The sequence below is a fragment of the Homo sapiens genome, chromosome 5 (assembly GCF_000001405.40).
Source record: "Homo sapiens chromosome 5, GRCh38.p14 Primary Assembly".
In the NCBI taxonomy this organism is placed as follows: domain Eukaryota; kingdom Metazoa; phylum Chordata; class Mammalia; order Primates; family Hominidae; genus Homo; species Homo sapiens.
Genome location: NC_000005.10, coordinates 65,503,910 through 65,524,926, shown reverse-complemented (window position 1 = coordinate 65,524,926; position 21,017 = coordinate 65,503,910). Strand labels below are relative to the sequence as shown.

At 36.2% G+C, this 21,017-nt stretch overlaps 1 protein-coding gene across 33 annotated transcripts in view; it reads left to right on the top strand.

Moving 5' to 3' along the window:
* CENPK (centromere protein K) overlaps window positions 1-21,017 on the top strand; it is a 67,545-nt gene that overhangs the window by 38,242 nt on the left and 8,286 nt on the right. For 22 of the 33 annotated variants that reach the window (XM_047417487.1, XM_017009695.2, XM_011543538.3 and 19 more), the window contains 2 exons: window positions 3,399-3,452; window positions 6,294-7,161. In XM_047417487.1, the coding sequence (XP_047273443.1) occupies window positions 3,399-3,452; window positions 6,294-6,452 (213 nt within the window). In that variant the 3' untranslated portion in view covers window positions 6,453-7,161. Of the gene's footprint in view, window positions 1-3,398; window positions 3,453-6,293; window positions 7,162-8,325; window positions 8,636-16,785; window positions 17,702-21,017 lie in introns of those variants that run through there. The other 11 variants (XR_007058619.1, XR_007058618.1, XR_007058617.1 and 8 more) reach the window with 4 other exon arrangements.

Here is a 21,017-nt window from a genome sequence, read left to right as displayed (position 1 = left end):
TTAATTACAGTTTGTTTAACTTCATATCTCAATTCTAGGCAGTTATTGACTCTGCTGTAAAAGATAAGAAAATTAACATTCTTTTTCCTATACCCTTATTTCTATTTTGTGTTATTTTTACTTTGGCAGGTTATATTTTATTCAGAACTTCTATTTTATTTATATTTTATTCAGAAAACGCCATTTATATTTAGCCTTCATTCTACATTGTATTGGAGTCAGTGCTCATTATCTTTTTTTTTTTTTGAGATGGAGTCTCCCTGTGTCACCCAGGCTGGAATGCAGTGGCATGATCTCGTCTCACTGCAACCTCTGCCTCCTGGGTTCAAGCGATTCTCCTGCCTCAGCCTCCTGAGTAGCTTGGGACTACAGGTGTGTTCCACCATGCCCAGTTAATTTGTTTTTTTGTGTGGGGGGGTTTTTTTTTTTTTGGTATTTTTAGTAGAGACGGGGTTTCACTGTGTTAGCCAGGATGGTCTCGACCTCCTGACCTTATGATCCGCCCGACTCAGCCTCCCAGAGTTTTTGTTTGTTTTTTTTTTGAGTTGGAGTCTCGCTTTGTTGCCCACGCTGGAGTGCAGTGGCGTGATCCTGGCTCACTGTAAGCTCCACCTCCCGGGTTCACACGATTCTGCTGCCTCAGCCTCCCGAGTAGCTGGGAGTACAGGCGCCTGCAACCATGCCTGGCTAATTTTTTTTTTTTTTGTATGCTTTTAGTAGAGACGGGGTTTCACCGTGTAAGCCAGGATGGTCTCGATCTCCTGAGCTGGTGATCTGCCCGCCTTGGCCTCGCAAAGTGCTAGGATTACAGGCATGAGCCACCGTGCCCGGGCCAAGCCTCCAAGAGTTGTTAAGTTTAATCCTTCGCTTGGTTTGATGAGTTTCTTTGACAAGTAATTTGTTCAAGAATTCCTGGGTGTTTAGTCTTTGGATTCTTGGATGGTGTAAATACTTTGTCTTTACACTAAAAGGATATTTTAAGCACTTTTTTTTTTAAATCTCAAGTTCTGTTAGGTATTGCTCCCTGTCTTTTAAGATGGAATGTGGTATAGAGAATTCTGAGGCCAGTCTATGGATGACTTGTTGCTTCTGACTATATCTGGAGAGTTCTTTATATTTGAACCAATAACATAAGAATATTTCACAATGTTGGTTATTCAATATCAGTTTTCCTTTGAAAAAGATATGTTATTTTTCTGGGCAGTTTTAATTCACATTTGTTTCATAGAAATTTTCTTTTATATTTTTCTTCTGCATTTCGTTTGTCTCAAGTCTTTATAATTTAACCTGTATCTTGCTTCTCATTTATTAATCAATACTATAATTGTGCTGTCTTCACCACTAATCGTATGCTCATTTATACCACTCTTTTTCCTTTACTAAGGTATTAGATTTTCAGAGCCTGCTCGGCTCTCTTGATTTAGGAATCATACATATTTTGTTAGTGTTATTTTACTATTTGTTTAATATATTTGTATTTCTGCAAGGCTTTATAAGAATTCCATGGTAATCTCTGACTGGTATCAGGAAAGTAATAGTTGTCACCGTAGTAGGCAACTTTATAATTAATTGAATGTCTGAATTCAAAACCTTCTGATTAGGATTAGTATGATCTTGGAACTTTCTAGCAGTTTCCTTTAGAGTCTGTCCTGTTGAACATTTTTAACAATAACTTAAAGAGATAGAATATGTGGCTATCAAAGTTTACAAATGATGTGAAAGTAAGAGGGCTAGATAGTAAATATGTTGGATGACAGATTGAAGACTATTTCTTAGCTAGTTAGGAACTAAGACAAATAAAATAGGATGATGTTTAAATAGAAATACATAGAATATGTATTTACATATGTACAGAATACATTACATACATACAGAATACATTACATTACAGAATAAGGAAGACATTTTTAGCTAGATATATGAAAAATACTTTGGCATTTTAGATGATAGTATTCTCAGAAGTCCACAAGGAAAAAATAGCTGTCTAAAAGCTAATACCATCTTAAATTTAATGAATAGAATTCCAGTCTCCGTAATTATGAAAGTGGGTGTTCTTTTTTTGTCTTTGGTAGTCAAATCACACCTAGATCATTGTGGGAGACTGGATGAAGGAAAACAAAAGACAAATTAGAGCACATTCGGAGAATAATCATGGTATTGAGAAGCCTCAAATTTATGCCATATGAAAAGTAATTGAGGTGGGGTATGGTGGCTCACACCTGTAATCCCGCACTTTAGGAGACTGAGGTGGGAGGATCACTTGAAGCCAAAAATTTGAGACCAGCTTGGACAACGTAGCAAGACCCTGCCTCTACAAAACAAACAAATAAACAAAAACATTACTGTGGCATGTGCTTATAGTCCCAGCTACTCGGGAGGCTGAGGTGGGAAGATAGTTTGAGCCCAGGAAGTTGAGGCTGCAGTGGGCTATGATGGCACCACTGCACTCCAGCCTGGGTGACAGAGTGAGACCCTGTCTCCAAAAAAAAGAAAAAGAAAAATAATTGAAGAAACAAATGGTGATTAGTATTTTGAAAAAGAGAAGATTTGAGCCTTATAATAGCAGTCTTCAAATATTTGAGGAACTCTTGGGTAGAATTGGAATGAGATTTATTCTCGTCGTTCCAAGGAAGAAACAACTAATGAGTTGAGCTAACATGACAAACTGTCAAGAGCTATAGAAAGATGATTAAGTCTCTCATAAGAGCAAGTTTCCTATACTGAAACTGCATAAATGTACTCTGGAATGTCATTTGGGGAGTTTTTATTGGGGGATTTAAATACTAATTTTTTTATGTGATTATATATAATGTGTATATCTATTATATGCTTATGGATAGTTTTAATTGTATCTTCCAGTTACTATAAGAGTTTTCACTGTCTTAGAAGATATTTCAACTGCATTTTTATGAATCTGACTTAAATACAACGTTTACTTTCAGAATTTTTTGTCACTTAATTACAAATATTTGATTTTAGTTACTTTGTACCATTACAACTAAGAAATATTAATTTTAAAAGTCTTGGCCAAACGCGGTGGCTCACTCCTGTAATCAAAGCACTTTGGGAGGCCGATGTGGGCAGATCACCTGAGGGTCAGGAGCTCGAGACCAGCCTGGCCAACAGGGTGAAACCTCATATCTACTAAAAATACAAAAATTAGCCAGGCATGGTGGTGGGAGCCTGTAATCACAGCTACTCGGGAGGCTGAGGCAAGAGAACCACTTGAATCCGGGAGGCGGAGGTTGCAGTGAACCGAGATTGCGCCATTGCACTCCAGCCTGGGCGCCAAGAATGAAACTCTGTCTCAGAAATAAAAGTCTTATAAAAACAGTCCAATATTTCACCATTGGCAGAAGTGAAGTGGTAATTGTTTGTTATTCACATTTCTCTTGAAGAAAAACATTCAAGAATCATCTGTAAACCTGATAACACTGCATGAAATGTTAGAGGTAAGTGTTTTGTGTAGTTTGTTTTGTCTTGAAGCTGTCTTAGTCATTTGTGAACAATTATACTCAGACTTGAAAAACAAAAAATACTGCTTTAATTCTTAAAGTATGCATCAATCTTTATTAAATATATTTGTAATAATATATCTTTGGTATAAAATTAGTTTCTGTTCCCTGTACAGTACTGAGAGGAATATTGTTATTTTTAAAATAATGTGAATTTAAGGTCTATCTCTTAATCATGTTCCCAAGATTTATTACAGGTAAAATTTTTATCTAGGCATGAGCTGACAGGGTGAAAAAATTTTTTTAATGATGTTATCTAGTATTTACAGAGTAAAATTCTATGCTGTTACATTGACTGTTTAATTGGTAGCTCTGTACTCTATATAAAATACGTAATGAACTTAAAGATTCTTTCCACAAAGTTGTAGAAATTGTACAATTTTTAAAAAATAACATCAGTCTCTTTTCTTACAGTGTAAGTACTGAGTTTTCCAACTTTCTCTGATTTGACATATACCTTGTTTTATAAATACCTTTGACCTTTTCAAAAATGTTTTTGAACCTCAACCATATTATCAGTTACATTAAATACTTTGGAAGATCTTGATATGACAATTCATGGTAAATTGGGCAGAAAGGAAAATGAAATAATTTATGAAGAACAGGGTATTTACCAATTAGTGTACCCCCTTTTAAAATCATTGGTATATTTTGAAGAAAGAGTGATTTCAGAAAACGCGTTTCATTTAACTTAATGAACTAGGTGTTAAAGTCTCTTTTTGCCCAGCTGACAAGTTTTGGTTCCTCAGGATTTAATACAGAGTATTATTGCTTTGAAAAGCAAAATACAAATATTTATTAGATTCGTAATTAGAATATTTTAACATATTTCTAGCTACTCTAGTTTATGCTGAAACTAAGATGACTGTAGTTTCTCATGGATGACTTAACCTTTTTTTTTAATAAAAATTGTCAGTCATGGAAATACTGAAAGGTATTACATGTATAATTTTTTAATAGTGTAACATAGTATGTACCATCTGTGTTAGGCCATTCTTGTGTTGCTGTAAAGAAATACCTAAGACTGTATAATTTATAAGGAAAAGGAGTTTAATTGGCTCATGGTTTGCAGGCTGTATAAACATGACACTAGCATCTGCTCAGCTTCTAGGGAGGCCTAAGGGAGCTTTTACTCATAGCAGAAGGTGAAGCAGCAGCAGACACTTTACATGGCCAGAGTGGGAGCAAGAGGGAGGGGGAAAGGTACCACACACACTTTTAAGCAGCCGGATCTTGCGAGAACTCACTATCATGAGGACAGCACCAAGGGGATTTGCTAAAGCATTCATGAGAAATTCACCCTGATGATCCAATCACCTCCCACCAGGCTCCACCTCCAACATTGGGGATTACATTTCAATATGAGATTTGGTAGGGGACACACCTAAACTATATCAGCATATAAAACTTAGCATTAGAATCCTAAGTTTGTCTCCAAGGCTCATATTGTCAGTGATAAAGGAACTAATCTTAAAACTGCAGTTAGGTTAAAAATAAAACAATATGATTAAAATTAGAAATGCAAAATAGGAAAGATTTGTACTAAAATAAGCTGTTTGTACTAAAATAAGCCATTGCTCTAAAATACAAATAATATTTAATTCTATATTATGATACTCAAAAGAAATGAGGCCAAAGCTTTTTTCCTGCAGAATGTGGGACTTGAAATAATTAATGATAGTTGAAAATGTTATTTCAAGAACTAAGGTATTATTATAAAATTTAATTGAGATTAGAGCTTGATGGATTAATTTGATTTATTTCTATGGCACTTTGTAATTGTATAAATTATGCATTCTCTTTTCCATGTTCCTTAAAATAATAGCATCTTTCAGTTAAAAATTTGGCCTGACAATTCAGAGATACGGAGTCTAATCCAAGATCCACCCCTGATTATGTGCCCCTGAGGAATCTCTTAACTCTTCTGAGTTCTACTTTTGTAATTTGTGAAGGCACCGGAAGATAGCTGAGGAGGCAAAATAATAATTGATCTACATTTAGCGTTTTTCCACTGTATTTCATAACATTAGTATTCAAACAATTGTAACTATTTGTTTCTTGAAAAAACTTTTATAATAGCAGTGCATTTGGGAAAGACAGCTGATTCTCAATCCACATTAGCTAGCTTTCCCAAGCTTGTTTGATCACAGAACCTTGTTTTTCAGGAACTAAGAACATCTTTAGGAGACTAATTCTATGGAATGCAGTTTGGAAAATGCTAGCCTATATAATTTAATACAAATACTCAAAACTCAATTTGTGGTTTTAATTCCACAATATCCTTAACGAAGATCAGGGATACTCAGGATGAAGCTGAAGGAAGTGATGATGATAAAATTGACTCTTGCAAAGATTTATCAGAAGAATAGGTGTTTTGTGGGGGACAGGACCAGTTATTTTTCCTTCAAATATTAAGACACACTTGCTCACTTTCTTTTTAACTTTTTGTGTTTTTTGTGAAATATTAATTTTTTAAGATTTTTGTCTTTATCCTAAAGAAGATATTAATCTCAAAAGAAGTGGGAGGATTGTAAATTCTTTCTAACCAATTTTTAGGAAATGTTTTTCTAAATTAAAGATGCAAAAATTCACTTTAAAGCTTTTTTCATTAGCTAATACCCATAGTCCTTTCAAAAAGGAAATTCAAATTTGTAGATTAAAAGTATTAAACAGTTGTTGAAAAAGAAAAGAGGTCAATATTCTTTGACAAAAAACTTTCTTATAGCTATATTGACTTTTTCCCAAGTAAAGTATATTTTGAATGATATTTTCTCCTAGATTCTTATAAATAGATTATTTGATGTTCCACATGATCCATATGTCAAAATTAGTGATTCCTTTTGGCCACCTTATGTTGAGCTGCTGCTGCGTAATGGAATTGCCTTGAGACATCCAGAAGATCCAACCCGAATAAGATTAGAAGCTTTCCATCAGTAAAAGGATGTTTTCTTTTTTCACACAGTAAAAATTCTTATCATTCAAGGATATTGGAACCACAGGACTATTTGGATAAAAAACATTATTTGCAAATTAATGCGCATAGGCCATCTTACTTTTATTGCAAAATGGCATGTGCTGCCATCTATTATTCATTTTTAAATGGTCATTTCTTATTCAGTGAGTGCTTTAGTGTTTTAAACTATATGGATAAGAATGCAGGTAGATAATATTCTAGGCATAAAACATTTAATGTACCTTACCTCATGCAATATTCTTTGGATTCTTTGTTGATTTATGATATTGCTAATATAATATTTTCTTAAAATATATAACAATATCTTTTATGCATTTTGAGTTCCAGCTGGTGCTTCTTTATATTTAGAAATTATAATGGGAAGGTCATTTAATTTACAGATGGTTTTAAAATTGAGGTAATATCTGAGGTGGCATAATTTAAAAATATTTAGCAAATTTGTTTCATATATACTGTCTTATTTCTAGATTTGTTTAAAATTGGAATATGAAAAACTAATGGATAAAGCTAGCATAAAATTGATATTTTAGTTTGTATTATTAATATATCATGTTACCTTATATATTAATCTACTCTTGATTCTGCTAATTATTACCAACAAAATTGTATTCATGACATTTTATTAATCCTCTGTGAATTTTCTGTAAATAAAATTATTTCTGAAAATCTCTAGCTATTAGTGATGTGGGATATTTTTATAAGTAGCAAATGTTTTTTAAAGGCCGATAAACTAAGATATAGGACTCATTTAGTATTACATAACAAGCTAAACTAGAGAATCCTAAATCCATTTAGTATCATTAGTTTTCTAAGATAAATTTGTTTATTTTTTTACTTGAAAGCGCTTTCTACTGTATATTATCCAAGTCTCTGGCTTACCTTAATTACTTCATATTTTCTAAAGTAAACAAATATTTGAAGTATACCAAATCCCTCTGTAGAAAATACAAATACTATTATATTTTAGGGAACGTAACTCTTTTAGGGGAGGATAATATATAAAGTACCTCCTAGAATACTGCAGTTGGATATTGAAGAAGTGAGCAACTTTTTACTCTTTGAAGTTACTGGAGAGGGAAGAAATGGCAGTGTAGGTCTGACAAGAATTCTTCAGAGCAGGTAGTACTGTTGTCCGTGAAGTACTAGCAAAACACTTTTGGTGTTTGCTAATTAAAACATTAAAAATATGTAATTGAGCCAGACACGGTGGCTCATGCCTATAATTCTAGCACTTTGGGAGGCCGAGGTGGGCGGATCACTTGAGGTCAGGAGTTCGAGACCAGCCAGGCCAACATGGTGAAACCCTGTCTTTACTAAAAATACCAAAAATTAGCTGGGTGTGGTGGTGCACACCTGTAATCCCAGCTACTTGAAGGCTGAGGCAGGGGAATCGCTTGAACCTGGGAGGTAGAAGTTGCAGTGAGCCAAGATTGCGCCACTGCACTCCAGCCTGGGTGACGAGCAAAACTCCGTCTCAAAAGAAAAAAAAAAAGTAATCCTTATGCTTGCAATGCCTACCAATAGACTGTATTCTTCTAAAAGTTTATATGGGGTATGTCAATATGCTTCCAGTTGCTAAATGGAGTGTATCAAATACTTTATTGCATTTTATGACATGTTGACTCAAAAATTAGTAAGTGAAAAGTTGCTAATAGCTTATTTTTAATATTCTTAATACTTTCCCTAGTTTATTGTTTATCCTACAACTTTGTTTTGATGGAATCTTGCTTTTTTTTTAGCATGTAGAGATGTAAAATTTTTAACTTATTTTTGATTATACAAAAAATGCAGATACTACAGATAAAACTGAAATTTCGTTTGATATTTCCTATCCAGGTCCTCTCTGCCTTGGGGTAACCACTATTTGATACATGCTATTATTTTTCATGTTACGTTATGATTATTCTCTTCCATCATTTGACTGTGTCCAGAAGATCATCCATTTTAATGAATCTTGTTTTGCAATAATCAGAGAGCCAATTCACATGATGGTGGATTGTTCGTATCTGTTTAATCCTGGTAAGAGAGCAGAGACAATGGAATTGTACAAGATGCTGGATTAAACTTAGAGAAGGCAGAAAAGTGGAAGACAAGAACAAAAGATCGATTAATAGAAAACATTAACAAATATAGTAATTTATATCAATCAGTTTAAATGTGAGTTGTCTAAATACACAGATACTGCCACAGTGCATTAAAAAACGACTAAACAAGAAATCCACTTTAAATACAGAGATGGAGAAAGATACATCATTTGTTATGGACTGAATGTTCATGTTCCCCTCTTCCCCAGATTTATATGTTGAAGCCCTAACCCCCAGTGCGATAGTGTTTGGAGACAGGATCTTGGAAGATATTAAGGTTAGGTGGCACCCTGACTAACATAAGGTTAGTGCCCTTATAAGAAGGGACACAGAAAGCTTGCTCTCTTTGCCATGTGAAGATACAACTAGAAGGTAGCTGTCTACAAATGAGAGAGCCTTCCCCAGAAATTGACTATGCTGACACCCTGATCCCAGACTTCGTCTTCAGAAATTTGAGAAAATGAAAATTTCTGTTGCTTAAGTCACCTAGTGTATGGTGTTTTGTTAGGGTAGCCTAGATAGACTAACATATGAAACTATACTCATCAAAAGAAAGCTGGAGTAGCTATATTAATTTCATACAAAGCTGACTTCAGAACAAGGAAAATGAGAGGCAATATATGGTGATAAAAGGGTAATTAACTTATTCTTTTCAAAAAAGACACCATAGAAGCTATGTCTTTGACTACAAAGGAATTAAACTAGAAATAAGTAATGAAAATACCTGGAAAATCCCAAAATACTTGTAGATTAAGGAACACACTTCTAAACACATAGGTCAAAGAAGTCTCGAGAAAATATATTTTGAACTAAATAAATGAAACTACAAGTTATCAAAATTTGTGAGATGCGGCTGGAAGCGGTGGTTCATGCCTGTAATCCCAGCACTTGTTGGGAGGCCGAGTCGGGTGGATCACGAGGTCAGGAGATCGAGACCATCCTGGCTAACGTGGTGAAACCCCGTCTCTACTAAAATATAAAAAATTAGCCGGGCGTGATGGCAGGCACCTGTAGTCCCAGCTACTTGGGAGGCTGAGGCGGAGGATGGCCTGAACCCGGGAGGCGGAGCTTGCAGTGAGCTGAGATTGTGCCACTGCACTCCAGCTTGGGCGACAGAGCAAGACTCCGTCTCAAAAAAAAAAAAAAAAATTTTTTTGAGATGCAGCAAAAGCAGTGGCTAGAGGGTAATTTATAGTATTGAGTGCATATATTGGAAAATGTTAAAGATCTAAAATCAATAAGCATCTACTTTAGGAAATTAGAAAAAGCAAATTAAATCCAAAGTAAGCAGAAGAAATAGAGTAGAAATCAATAAAATTGAAACAAAAACAATAGAGAAATTCAGTGAAACAAATGAAATTCAATGAAAAGTTAAAATTTATAAAACTTTTACCATAACAAAAGAAAAAACAAAAATTACTAAAATCAGAAATGAAAAGAGGTGCCATTATTACTCTTCTTGTGAACATTAGGACATTAGAAGGATAATAAAGGAATGATATGAGCAACTCTTGAGTGTACAAATTTGATAACAGATGAAATGGACCAATTTTGTGAAAGACGCAACCTACCAAAACTCACACAAGGAGAAATAACTGCCTTGCATAAACTTATAAAATAAATTGAATCAATTATGAGCTTCCAAAACAAAGCACTGGTCTCAGATGGCTTCACTAGTGAATTCTACCATTCAAAGAGAAAGTGATGCCAATTTTGTCAAGTGATGCCAATTTTGTACAGTCTGTTCTAGAAAATAGAAGCAGAGGAAATGCTTTAACACACTCTGTGAGGCTGAGCACGATGGCTCACGCCTGTAATCCCAGCACTTTGGGAGGCTGAGGTGGGCGGATCACGAGGCCAGGAGTTTGAGACTAGCCTGACCAATATGGTGAAACCCCGTCTCTACTAAAAATACTAAAAAATTAGCCAGGCGTGGTGGCACGCGCCTGTAATCCCAGCTACTCGGGAGGCTGAGGCAAAAGAATCACTTGAACCCTGGGATGGGGAGGTTGCAGTGAGCTGAGACTGCACCACTGCACTCCAGCCTGGGTGACAAAGTGAGACTACGTCTCAAAAAAAACTAAAAAAAACTAAAAAAAAAAAAAAAAAAAAAAAAAAAAAAAGATTATGTGAGGCCAGCATTACCCTGATAACAAAATTAGGTAAAGATGTTACAAGAAAGGACAACTACAGACTAGTATCTCTCATGAACATAGCTGTAAAAATTCTCAACAGAATATTAGCAAATCTAATATAACAATATATAACAAAAAACTATACACCACAGTCAGGTGGCATTTATTTCAGGTATGCAAGGCTGGTTCAACAAATCAGTTCATACAGTCCATTACATTATCACACTAAAGGAGTAAGGTCATGATCATATCAATACATGCAGAAAAGCCGTTTGACAAAAAAAGCCAACATCTATTTGTGATTAAAAACAAACCTCTCAGCCAGCTAGGAATATAAGAAAACCCTCAACTTCATAAAGAATATCTACAAAAAACCTACAGCTAACAACATACTTAATGGTGGGACATCAGATGCTTTCCCTTGAAGAACAGAAACAAGGCAAGTAGATCGCATCATTCCTATTTAATGTTGCACTGGAAGTTCTTGCTAATGCAATAAGACAAAATTCCTATGTCTCAACAAAAAATAATTTGAAACTAAAACCTGAATATAGCAAGTTTACAGAGAATGTATGGTTCATACACATTGAATTACTTTCTTAGATATACCAGGGATGAACATTTGGAATTAGAAATTTAAAACATTTACATTAGCACCAAAAGAGAGTAGAGAGAGAGAGAAGAAAGAAGGAAGGAAACAAAATTAACTTTGTACAAGATCTATATGGAAAACTACAAAAGTCTCATGAAAGAAATTGAAGATAGAAATAAGTAGAATAATATTCCATATTCATGGGTAGGAAGACTAAATATTTTTAAGGTGTTACGTCTTCCTAACTTTACGGATTCATTGAAATCTCAATAAAAATCCCAGCAAGGTACTTGTGGATATTGACAAAATTTTATAGTTAATGAGGGAACGACCCAGAATAGCTGCTAAGATATTTAAGAAGAACAAAGTTAGAGGACTGACACTGACTTTGGCGATGACTTTTTAGCTACAACACCAAAAGCATGATTCATGAAAGAAAAAAATTAGTTGGACTTTATTAAAATTAAAAACCGCTCTGTGAAGGACACTGTTAAAATGAAAAAATATGCCACAATCTGGGATAAAAACTTTGCAAAATATATCTGATAAAGGATTTGTATCCAAAATATACAATGAACTCTTTAAAAGTCAACAATAAGAAAAACCAATTAAAAAGTAGGTAAAAGATCTGAGCAGGCACCTCACAAAAGAAGATATATAGATAGCAAATAAGCATGAAAAAGTTGTTCAACATCGTATGTCATTAGAGAATTCCAAATTTAAATAATGAGATATCACTATGTGCCTACCACAATGGCTAAAATTAAAATATAATACCAAAGGCTGATGAGGATGTGGAGCAACAGGAACATAGCCACTTAGTGTTACGGTTTGACGGTTTTTTACAAAGCTAAATATAGCCCTAATACAGGCATACCTTGAAGATACTGTGGGTTTGGTTCCAGACAACTGCAATAAAACAAATACTACAAGTGAGTCACACAAATTGTTTGATTTCCCCGTACATGTAAAAGTTTTGTTTATACTATACTGTAGTCTAGTAACTATACATAGCATTATTTCTAAAAATGTGCATACATTATTTAAAACAAACCTTATTGCTAAAAAGTGCTGAGATGCCTAATCAGCCTTCACCTAGTAATTTTTTGCTGGTGGAAGGTCTTGTCAGTGTTAATGGCTGCTGACTGATTGGGGTAGTGGTTGTTGGAGGTTCGGGTGGCTGTGGCCATTTCTTAAAATAAGTCAGTGAAGTTTGCCACATCGATTGACTCTTACTTTCACAAAAAGATTTCTCAGTAGCATGGTAAGATGCTGTTTGATAGGTTTCTACCCACAGTAGAACTTTCAAAATAAGAGTCACTCCTCTCAAACCCTGCCACTGCCATATCAACAATGTTTATGTAATATTCTAAATCTTTTCTTGTCATTTCAACCATGTTCACTGTATCTTCACTGGAAGTAGATTCCATCTCAAGAAACCATTTTTTGCTCATCCATGGGAATTAACTCCTCATCTGTTCAAGTTGTATCATGAGATTGTAGCAATTCAGTCACATCTTCAGGGTCCACCTCTAGTTCTCTTGATATTTCTACCACATGTGTGGTTACTTGAACCCCTCAGAGTCATCCATGAAGTTTAGAACCAACCTCTTGCACACTCCTGTTAATGTTGATATTTTGACCTCCTCCCATGAATTGCACATGTTCTTAATGGCATCTAGAGTGGCGAATAATTTCCAGAAGGTTTTCAATGTACTTGAAAATCCAAATCCATCAGAGCAGCCATCTCTGATCTTTTTGTCACCAGGGACCAGTTTTGTAGAAGACAATTTTTCCATGGACCCAGAGTGGGGCTGGGGGGATGGTTTTGGGATGAACCTGTTCTACCTAAGATGATGAGGCATTAGCTTCTCATAAGGAGCATGCAACCTAGATCCCTCACATGAGCAGTTCACAAAAGGGTTTGTGCTCCTGTAAGAATCTAATGCTGCTGATCTGACAGGAGGCGGAGCTCAGGCCATAATGCTCACTCACCTGCTGCTCACCTCCTGTGGTGTGACCTGGTTCCTAACAGGCCATGGACTGGTACCAGAGCACAGGCAGAGTAGATTTTAGTATAATTCTTAAGGGCCCTAGGATTGCTGGAATGGTACACGAGCACTGGTTTTAACTTAAGGTCACCAGCTGCATTAGCCCTTAGCAAGACAGTCTTTCTGTCCTTTGAAACTTTGAAGCCAGGCATTGACTTCTCTAGCTATGAGAGTCCTTAGATGGCATCTTCTTCCAATAGAAGGCTGTTTTGTCTACCTTGAAAATTTGCTGTTTAGCATAGCCACTTTCATCAATATCTTAGCTAGATCTTCCGGATAACTTGGTGCAGCTTCTGCCTCAGCACTTATTGCTTCCCCTTGCGCTTTTATGTTATGGAGATGGCTTCTTTCCTTAAACCTCATGAACCAACCTCTGCTAGCTTCACACTTTTCTTTTGCAGCTTCCTCACCTCTCTCAACCTTCATAGAATTAAAAGAGTTAAGGCCTTGTGGATTAGGCTTTGGCTTAGAGGAATGTTGTGGTTGTGTCTTAGTCCATTTTCTGTTGCTTATAACAGAATAACTAAAACTGGGTAATTTATAAAGAAGAGGAATTTCTTTCTACAGTTACTGAGCCAGGAAGTCCAAGGTTGAGAAGCTGCATCTTATGGGGCCCTCTTGCTGCTGGTGACTCTGAAGAATCCCTGAGTGGCACAGGACATCACATGGTGAAGGGTCTGAGAGGAATATCTCTCTTCCTCTTCTTATAAAGCCACCAGTCCCATTCCCATGATAACCCAATACTCCATTAATTAATGAATTGCGTAAACCATTTTTCTTTCTTTCTTTTTTTTTTTTTGAGATGGAGTTTCGCTCTTGTTGTCCAAGCTGGAGTGCAGTGGCACAATCTCGGCTCACTGCAACCTCTATCTCCTGGGTTCAAGCAATTCTCCTGCCTCAGCCTCCCGAGTAGCTGGGATTACAGGCGTGCACCACCATGCCTGCCTAATTGTTTGTATTTTTGGTAGAAACGGGGTCTCACCATGTTAGCCAGGCTGGTCTTGAACTCCTGACCTCAGGTGATCTGCCCTTCTCGGCCTCCCAAAGTGCTGGGATTACAGGCGTTAGCCACCGTGCCCGGACGCCATTTTTCATTCATTAGAGCACAGTCCTCGTGACCCAATCACCTCTTAAACTCCCTGCCTGTCAATACTGCCACATTTTGTGGATTAAATTTCAACATGGTTTTTGGAGGAGACAATCATTCAAACCATAGCAGGCTAGTCTGATCTTCTATCTGGAAATCTAAAACTTTCTCCATTGATCAGCAATAAGGCTGTTTCACTTTCTTACCATTCATATGTTTGCTAGAGCAGGACTTTTAATTTTTTTCAAGACTTTTTCTTTATATTCACTACTTGGGTAACTATTGGTGCCAGACTCCCAGCTTTTGTCCTATTTTGACTTTTGACATGACTTTTTCACAAAGATTAATTCTTTTTCAGCTGTTGATTTAAAGTGAGAAATATGCGATTCTTCTTTCATCTGAACACTTAGAGGTCGTTGTAGGTTATTAATTGGCCTATTTCAATATTGTATCTCAGGGACTATGGAGGCTTAAGGAGAGGGAGACAAGGGAACAGCTGGTTGGTGGAACAGTCAAAATACACACAACATTTATTATTTAAGTTTGCTGTTTTATATAGATGTAGTTCTTGATTCCTCCAAACAATTACACTGATCTGTGATTACACATCAACATAACAGACATAATAATAATGAAAAGTTTTGAAATGTGAAAATTATCAAAATGTTACAGAGAGACACAAAGTGAGCATGAGCTGTTGGAGATATTGTAGTGGTAGACTTGCTCAACACAGGGTTACCAAAAACCTTCCATTTGTACAACAGACAATATCTGTCTGTAAAGGGAAACTCATTAAAATAAAGCATGCCTTTATATGATCTAGCATTACACTCCTAGGTATTGACCCAAATGCGTTGAAAATATGTCCGTACAAAATCCTGCATATGAATTTTTATAGCAGCATTATTTGTAATTGCCAAAAATTGGAAGGAACACCGACATTCTTCAGTAAATAAATGGATAAACAAAATGAGGTACATTCGTACAATGGAATAATATTTTGCAAAAATATTTGGAGCGATGAAGCTATGAAAAGACATGGAAGAACCATAATGCCAGTTACTCAGTTGGAGAAGCCAGTCTGAAAATGCTATATACTATATGATTCTAACTATATGAATTCTGGAAAAGGCAAAACTATGGAGGTGGGAAAAATATCAGTGGTTGCCAGAGGTTGAGACTGAGAAGGGAGAGTGGATGGAAGCAATGCATAGGTTGTCCCAGTGAGGACTGACTTTCTTAATATAGAGGTGAGACCAAGCGTATTGTTTATAACTGAGAATCTGCCTGACTCACAAAGCAAAACCCAAATGCACTATACAGGAGATACGCCAAGACAAGATGATTCAGAAAGGGTAAACATAAAGGGATGGGAAAAAGTGTATCAAATGGAATTCTTTTGCCCATGTTTAAAGTGGGTACTCTTATTGAGTTTTAAGAGTTTTTTTGTATTCTGAATATAAGTCCTTTCTTAAATGTATGTTTACAAATAGTTTCTCCCAGTCTGTGTCTTGTCTGTTTTTATTTTCTTAATGGCATCTTGAAGCACAAAAATTTGAAATTTTAATGGCATTGTATTTATTAATGGTTTCTTTCATAGATTGTGTTTTTGGTGCCGTATCTAAAAACTTTTTGCCAAACCAATGCACAACATTTTCTCCCAGAAGTTTCACAGTTTTAGCTTTTTTTTTTTTTTTTTTTTAGATGGAGTCTTGCTCTGTCGCACCCAGGCTGGAGTGCAGTGGCATGATCTCCGCTCACTGTAACCTCTGCCTCTCAGGTTCAAGTGATTCTCCCACCTCAGTCTCCCAAGTAGCTGGGATTACAGGCATCTGCCACCATGCCCGGCTAATTTTTTGTATTTTTAGTAGAGATGGGGTTTCACCATATTGGCCAGGCTGGTGTCGAACTCCTGACCTCAGGTGATCCACCCGCCTCAGCCTCTCAAAGTGCTGGGCTTACAGGCATGAGCCACTGCATCTGGCCCATAGTTTTAACTTTTATGTTCGTGTATGTGAACTATTTTGAATTAAATTTTTTATCGGATATGTTATAAGGAGATAGTTTTGATTTTAATACACTGAATAAAATAAATATTCAAGTCCATAGTGATAGAAAATTACAATCAAATGGGAGAGAATGAATAAATCTTCCTTATAGAAGTATTACAACTAATAAACATAGAAGAAAAGTTGTCTTTAGGCAAATACCCTAGTAATAATTTTGTAGACACACAGCAATAATTTAGCGTCTTCTGAAGTGTGCTAAAATTAGTGGGTGAAAATTCAGAATGAAATAGGATCTTTGCATCATCTAAAATTGTATTTTGTATTTCTTACTTACACAGGGAAATATAGTACCTTTATAGTGGAGAAACCCAGCAGACACCACCTTAATCACGTGGTCAAGGTTAATATCACAGGTAATCAGATGTCTCAATAATCAAAATATCTTGATATGATGTAATTAGAAAGACACAACATTGTTTCTGTAGTATTATTGCCAAAAATGCATTAACCTCATTCTAATCATGAGAAAATGTCAGACAAATGTGAATGAAGTTTATCCTATGAAATAACTTGCCAGTACTCTTGAAATGTGTCAAAGTTATGAAATACAAGGAAAGCCCGATAAACTCAAATTGGAGGAGACTAAAAAGAATTAATAATTACTTGTAAGGTGGGATCCTACATAAGTTCCTTTAACTGAAAAAGAACAATACTGGAAAAAGTGGTGAAATTTGAATAGGGTCTACAGTTTAGTTAATACTATTATATCAGTGTTAGTTTACTGGTTTCAATAATTTTAATATAATTATTATAAAATGTTACACATAATTGTATCATGATAACTGACTCGGAGCTTGTAGATGGGGCAGACTGAAGCAATTTAAAACCTTTAGGTGGGGAGGGGTGAAAACAGAGTGGGAGTAAGAGAATAAAAGTGACAAGCCTTAAACATAACACTTTTCTAGTAATATGACCGTGCAAATCAAAATGAAGGAATCTAATGCAAAGATAGCCAAGGCAAACAGATTTTGTTGTTTAGCTCTCCCTTCTCGCTTTCTAACAGAATTGATTTTTGTTTGGGTAATCCACTCTTCTCTATATAGCTGTGCATTTAGCTAAACCAAACGTGCTTATCTGAATCCTTTTTAGTGATTTATTAAAGAATATATTTGATCCAATATTTACTTATTATGTATCTTCTGAGGAACTTTGGAGAAATTTTTTTTTCACTGATTAAAAAAATGCCAGTAGGAAGTGGCTTCTCTTGTTCTGGTGGATATTACTTGGTCTGCATGGGACATCTGGAACTGCTTAGTCATTTTGTAACCATAAGGAGAGCTTGCCATGGCCAAATCTGGCATGTTTAGTATGGCAGAAACACAAAAGAAAAAGAGCAAATTCTGATAATGTTATTGAGCAAGTGAATTAATTTATTCTAGAGATTTCCTACTTGGGAACATGATACGTAAGATAATAAATTTTCCTTCTGGTTTAAGTCGATTGAGACAAGGTTTTATGTTGCTTGAAACTGAAAGCATCCTAGCTAGTAGCAACACCTAACAAAATCATGAAGTGGAACATTTATTTAGTCTTGATAAAATTAGTTTTATAGAATAGTGTGACAGAGGCTTTAGAATGGGTATTTTGAAGATGTTTGAAAAAACAAATTTATTTTAAAAGACTTTTTTTTTTTTTGAGACCAAGTGTCGCTCTGCTGCCCAGGCTGGAGTGCAGTGGCGTGATCTCAGCTCACTGCAATCTCCTCTTATCGGATTCAAGAGATTCTCCTGCCTTAGCCTCCTGAGCAGCTGGGATTACAGACACTCATCAACATGCCTGGCTAATTTTTTGTATTTTTAGTAGAGACAGGGTTTCGCCATGTTGGCCAGGCTGGCCTTGAACTTCTAACCTCAAGTGATCTGCCTGCCTTGGCCTCCCAAAGTGCTAGGATTACAGGTGTGAGCCACCATGCCCTACCAATTTTTGTGTTTTTAGTAGAGACCGGGTTTCACCATGTTGTCCAGGCTGGCCCTGAACTCCTGGGCTCAAGCAATCCACCAGCCTCAGCCTCCCAAAGTGCTGGGATTGCAGGAGTGAGCCACCTCACCCTGCCATTTTTTTTTTTTTTTTGAGATAAGTTCTCACTGTTGCAAAGGCTGGAGTTCAGTGGCTTTGAACTCCTAGGCTTAAGCCATCTTCCTGTGCCACAAGTAGCTAGGACTACAGGTGCCTGCCACCATGCTAATTTTTTTTTTTTTTTAAGAAATGGGATCTTGCTATGTTGCCCAGGCTGGTCTTGAGCTCTTGGTCTCAAGACATTCTCCCGCCTGGGCCTCCCAAAGCACTGGAATTACAGGTGTGGGCCACCATGCCTGGTTAAAAAGAGCAAGGAACTTTAAAACAAAAATAGGAACAAATGAACCAAAATTAGGTTATGAAATTGAATTAATTACAGATTCCATATTGGATTAAATATAATAATTTCAACACAATTTCTGCAAGTAGGATAACTCTTAACTGGCTAGAGTCAGTGAGAATGAACTGAAAGACAGTTGAAAAATTAACCCAGAAAGACTAAGAGGTAAAAATTATGAAGCATGGATAAGAAATGTAGAGGAGAGATCAAAGGACTCTACCATATGTCACATAGAAGTTTGTGATAAAAAGAATGAAGGAATATAAATAAGTAATATCTGAATAGGTTATAGCTGAAAAATCTCCAGAATGGAGAAAAACAGAAGTCTTTGGAAAAGCATGTACACTGAATGCTGTGCAGGATAAAAAAGCTAAATATGCTAAATCCACAACACGACATAGGTTTTTGCTTTGTTTTGTTTTTGAGATGAGGTCTCACTCTGTCGCCCAGGCTGGAGTGCAGTGGCAGAGTCATGGATCACTGTAGCCTCAACCTCTTGAGCTCAAGTGATCCTTCCACCTCAGCCTCCCAAGTAGCTTGGACTACAGGTATGCACCACCATGCCCAGCTAATGTATTTTTTATTTTTATTTTTGTAGAAACAAGGTATTACCATGTTGTCCAGGCTGCTCTCAGACTCCTGGCCTCAAGTGATCCTCTTGCCTTGGCCTCCCAAAATCCTAGGATTACAGGCATAAGCCACTATGCTCAGCATACATAGTTTAGTGAAACTACAACACATTAAAGAGAAAGTATTCAAAGATACCAAGAGAAAGGATAGTAACTTAAGGACAGTAATTATATATCTCATCAGAAACAATAGACATTGGTGCTGGGGGTAAAAAGGATAATCAATCTTGAATCACATAACCAGCTAAAGTATTACTCAAGAATAAGGACAAAATAAATGTTGTAGCCTGGGCAGCAAAGTGAGACCCTGTCTCTACAAAAATAAAAATTAAAAAAAAAATTAGCTGAATATGGTGGGACATACCTGTAGTCCCAGCTAATTGAGAGGCTAAGGCAGAGGATTGGTTATACCTGGAGTTCAAGGTTGCAGCTAACTATTCACTATATTCTATGAAGCCTGGGTGACAGTGAGTGACCATCTTTAAATAAATAAATAAATAAACTTTCTGACATATAAAAAACTAAAAATCTTTCCCACCCATACACATTCCCTAAAATAAGAGTTAACAGATATAACTTCAACCAGAGGAAAAGTTAATCCAGGGGAGGATAGGGTTAAGGAATCAGCCGTGAGCACATAAATTTATTTAAAATCAGTTATGGAAAGAAGAATGTAAAGACATTTAGAAAGAAAAAGTGTTTCTTGAAGAGATGTCACAGGGATATCGTACTTCAGAGCAACTCTCTAGTCAATTAAAAAATACAATATATGTTTAAAGGAAAATTACCTGCAAGGTTACAAAGTTTGTATTAGCCTATTCATAGTGGGAAAAAAAACAGCAATTTTTTCACATTGATATCATATGCACAAAAGTGCATATCTTCAGACATTAGTATTGCAAAAGTAAGTAATAAACATCTGGTAGAAAGTTAACTTACGAGAGAAATACTCGTGGGTTTTTTTTTTTTTTTTTTTTGATACGGAATTTTGCTCTTGTCTCCCAGGCTGGAGGGCAATGGCACGATCTTGGCCCACTGCAACCTCCCATCTCCCAGTTTCAAGCGATTCTCCCACCTAGGCCTCCGGAGTATCTGGGATTACAGGCATGTGCCACCAAGTCCGGCTAATTTTGTATTTTTAGTAGAGATGGGGTTTCACCATGTTAGCCAGGCTGGTCTCGAACTCCTCACCTCAGGTAATCTACCCCACCTTGGCCTCCCAAAGTGCTGAGATTACAGGCATGAGCCACTGCGCCTGGCCAGGTTTTTTTTAAAAAAATATATAAGACAAGATTTCCCTTATTTTTAGCTTATATTTGGGTCAAAGTGTTTTCTGGTTGTTCTTTGACTGTGGAACATGATATTCATACTTAGTATAATGATCGCAAGCAAAGGGTTGTGTTTGCTTCAGGACAGTTGCATATTACAAAGAAGCCAATGTTTTTGGCTTTTCTGTTAAAAAAAAAAATTTTTTTAGCAGGCCGGGCACGGTGACTCACGCCTGTAATCCCAGCACTTTGGGAGG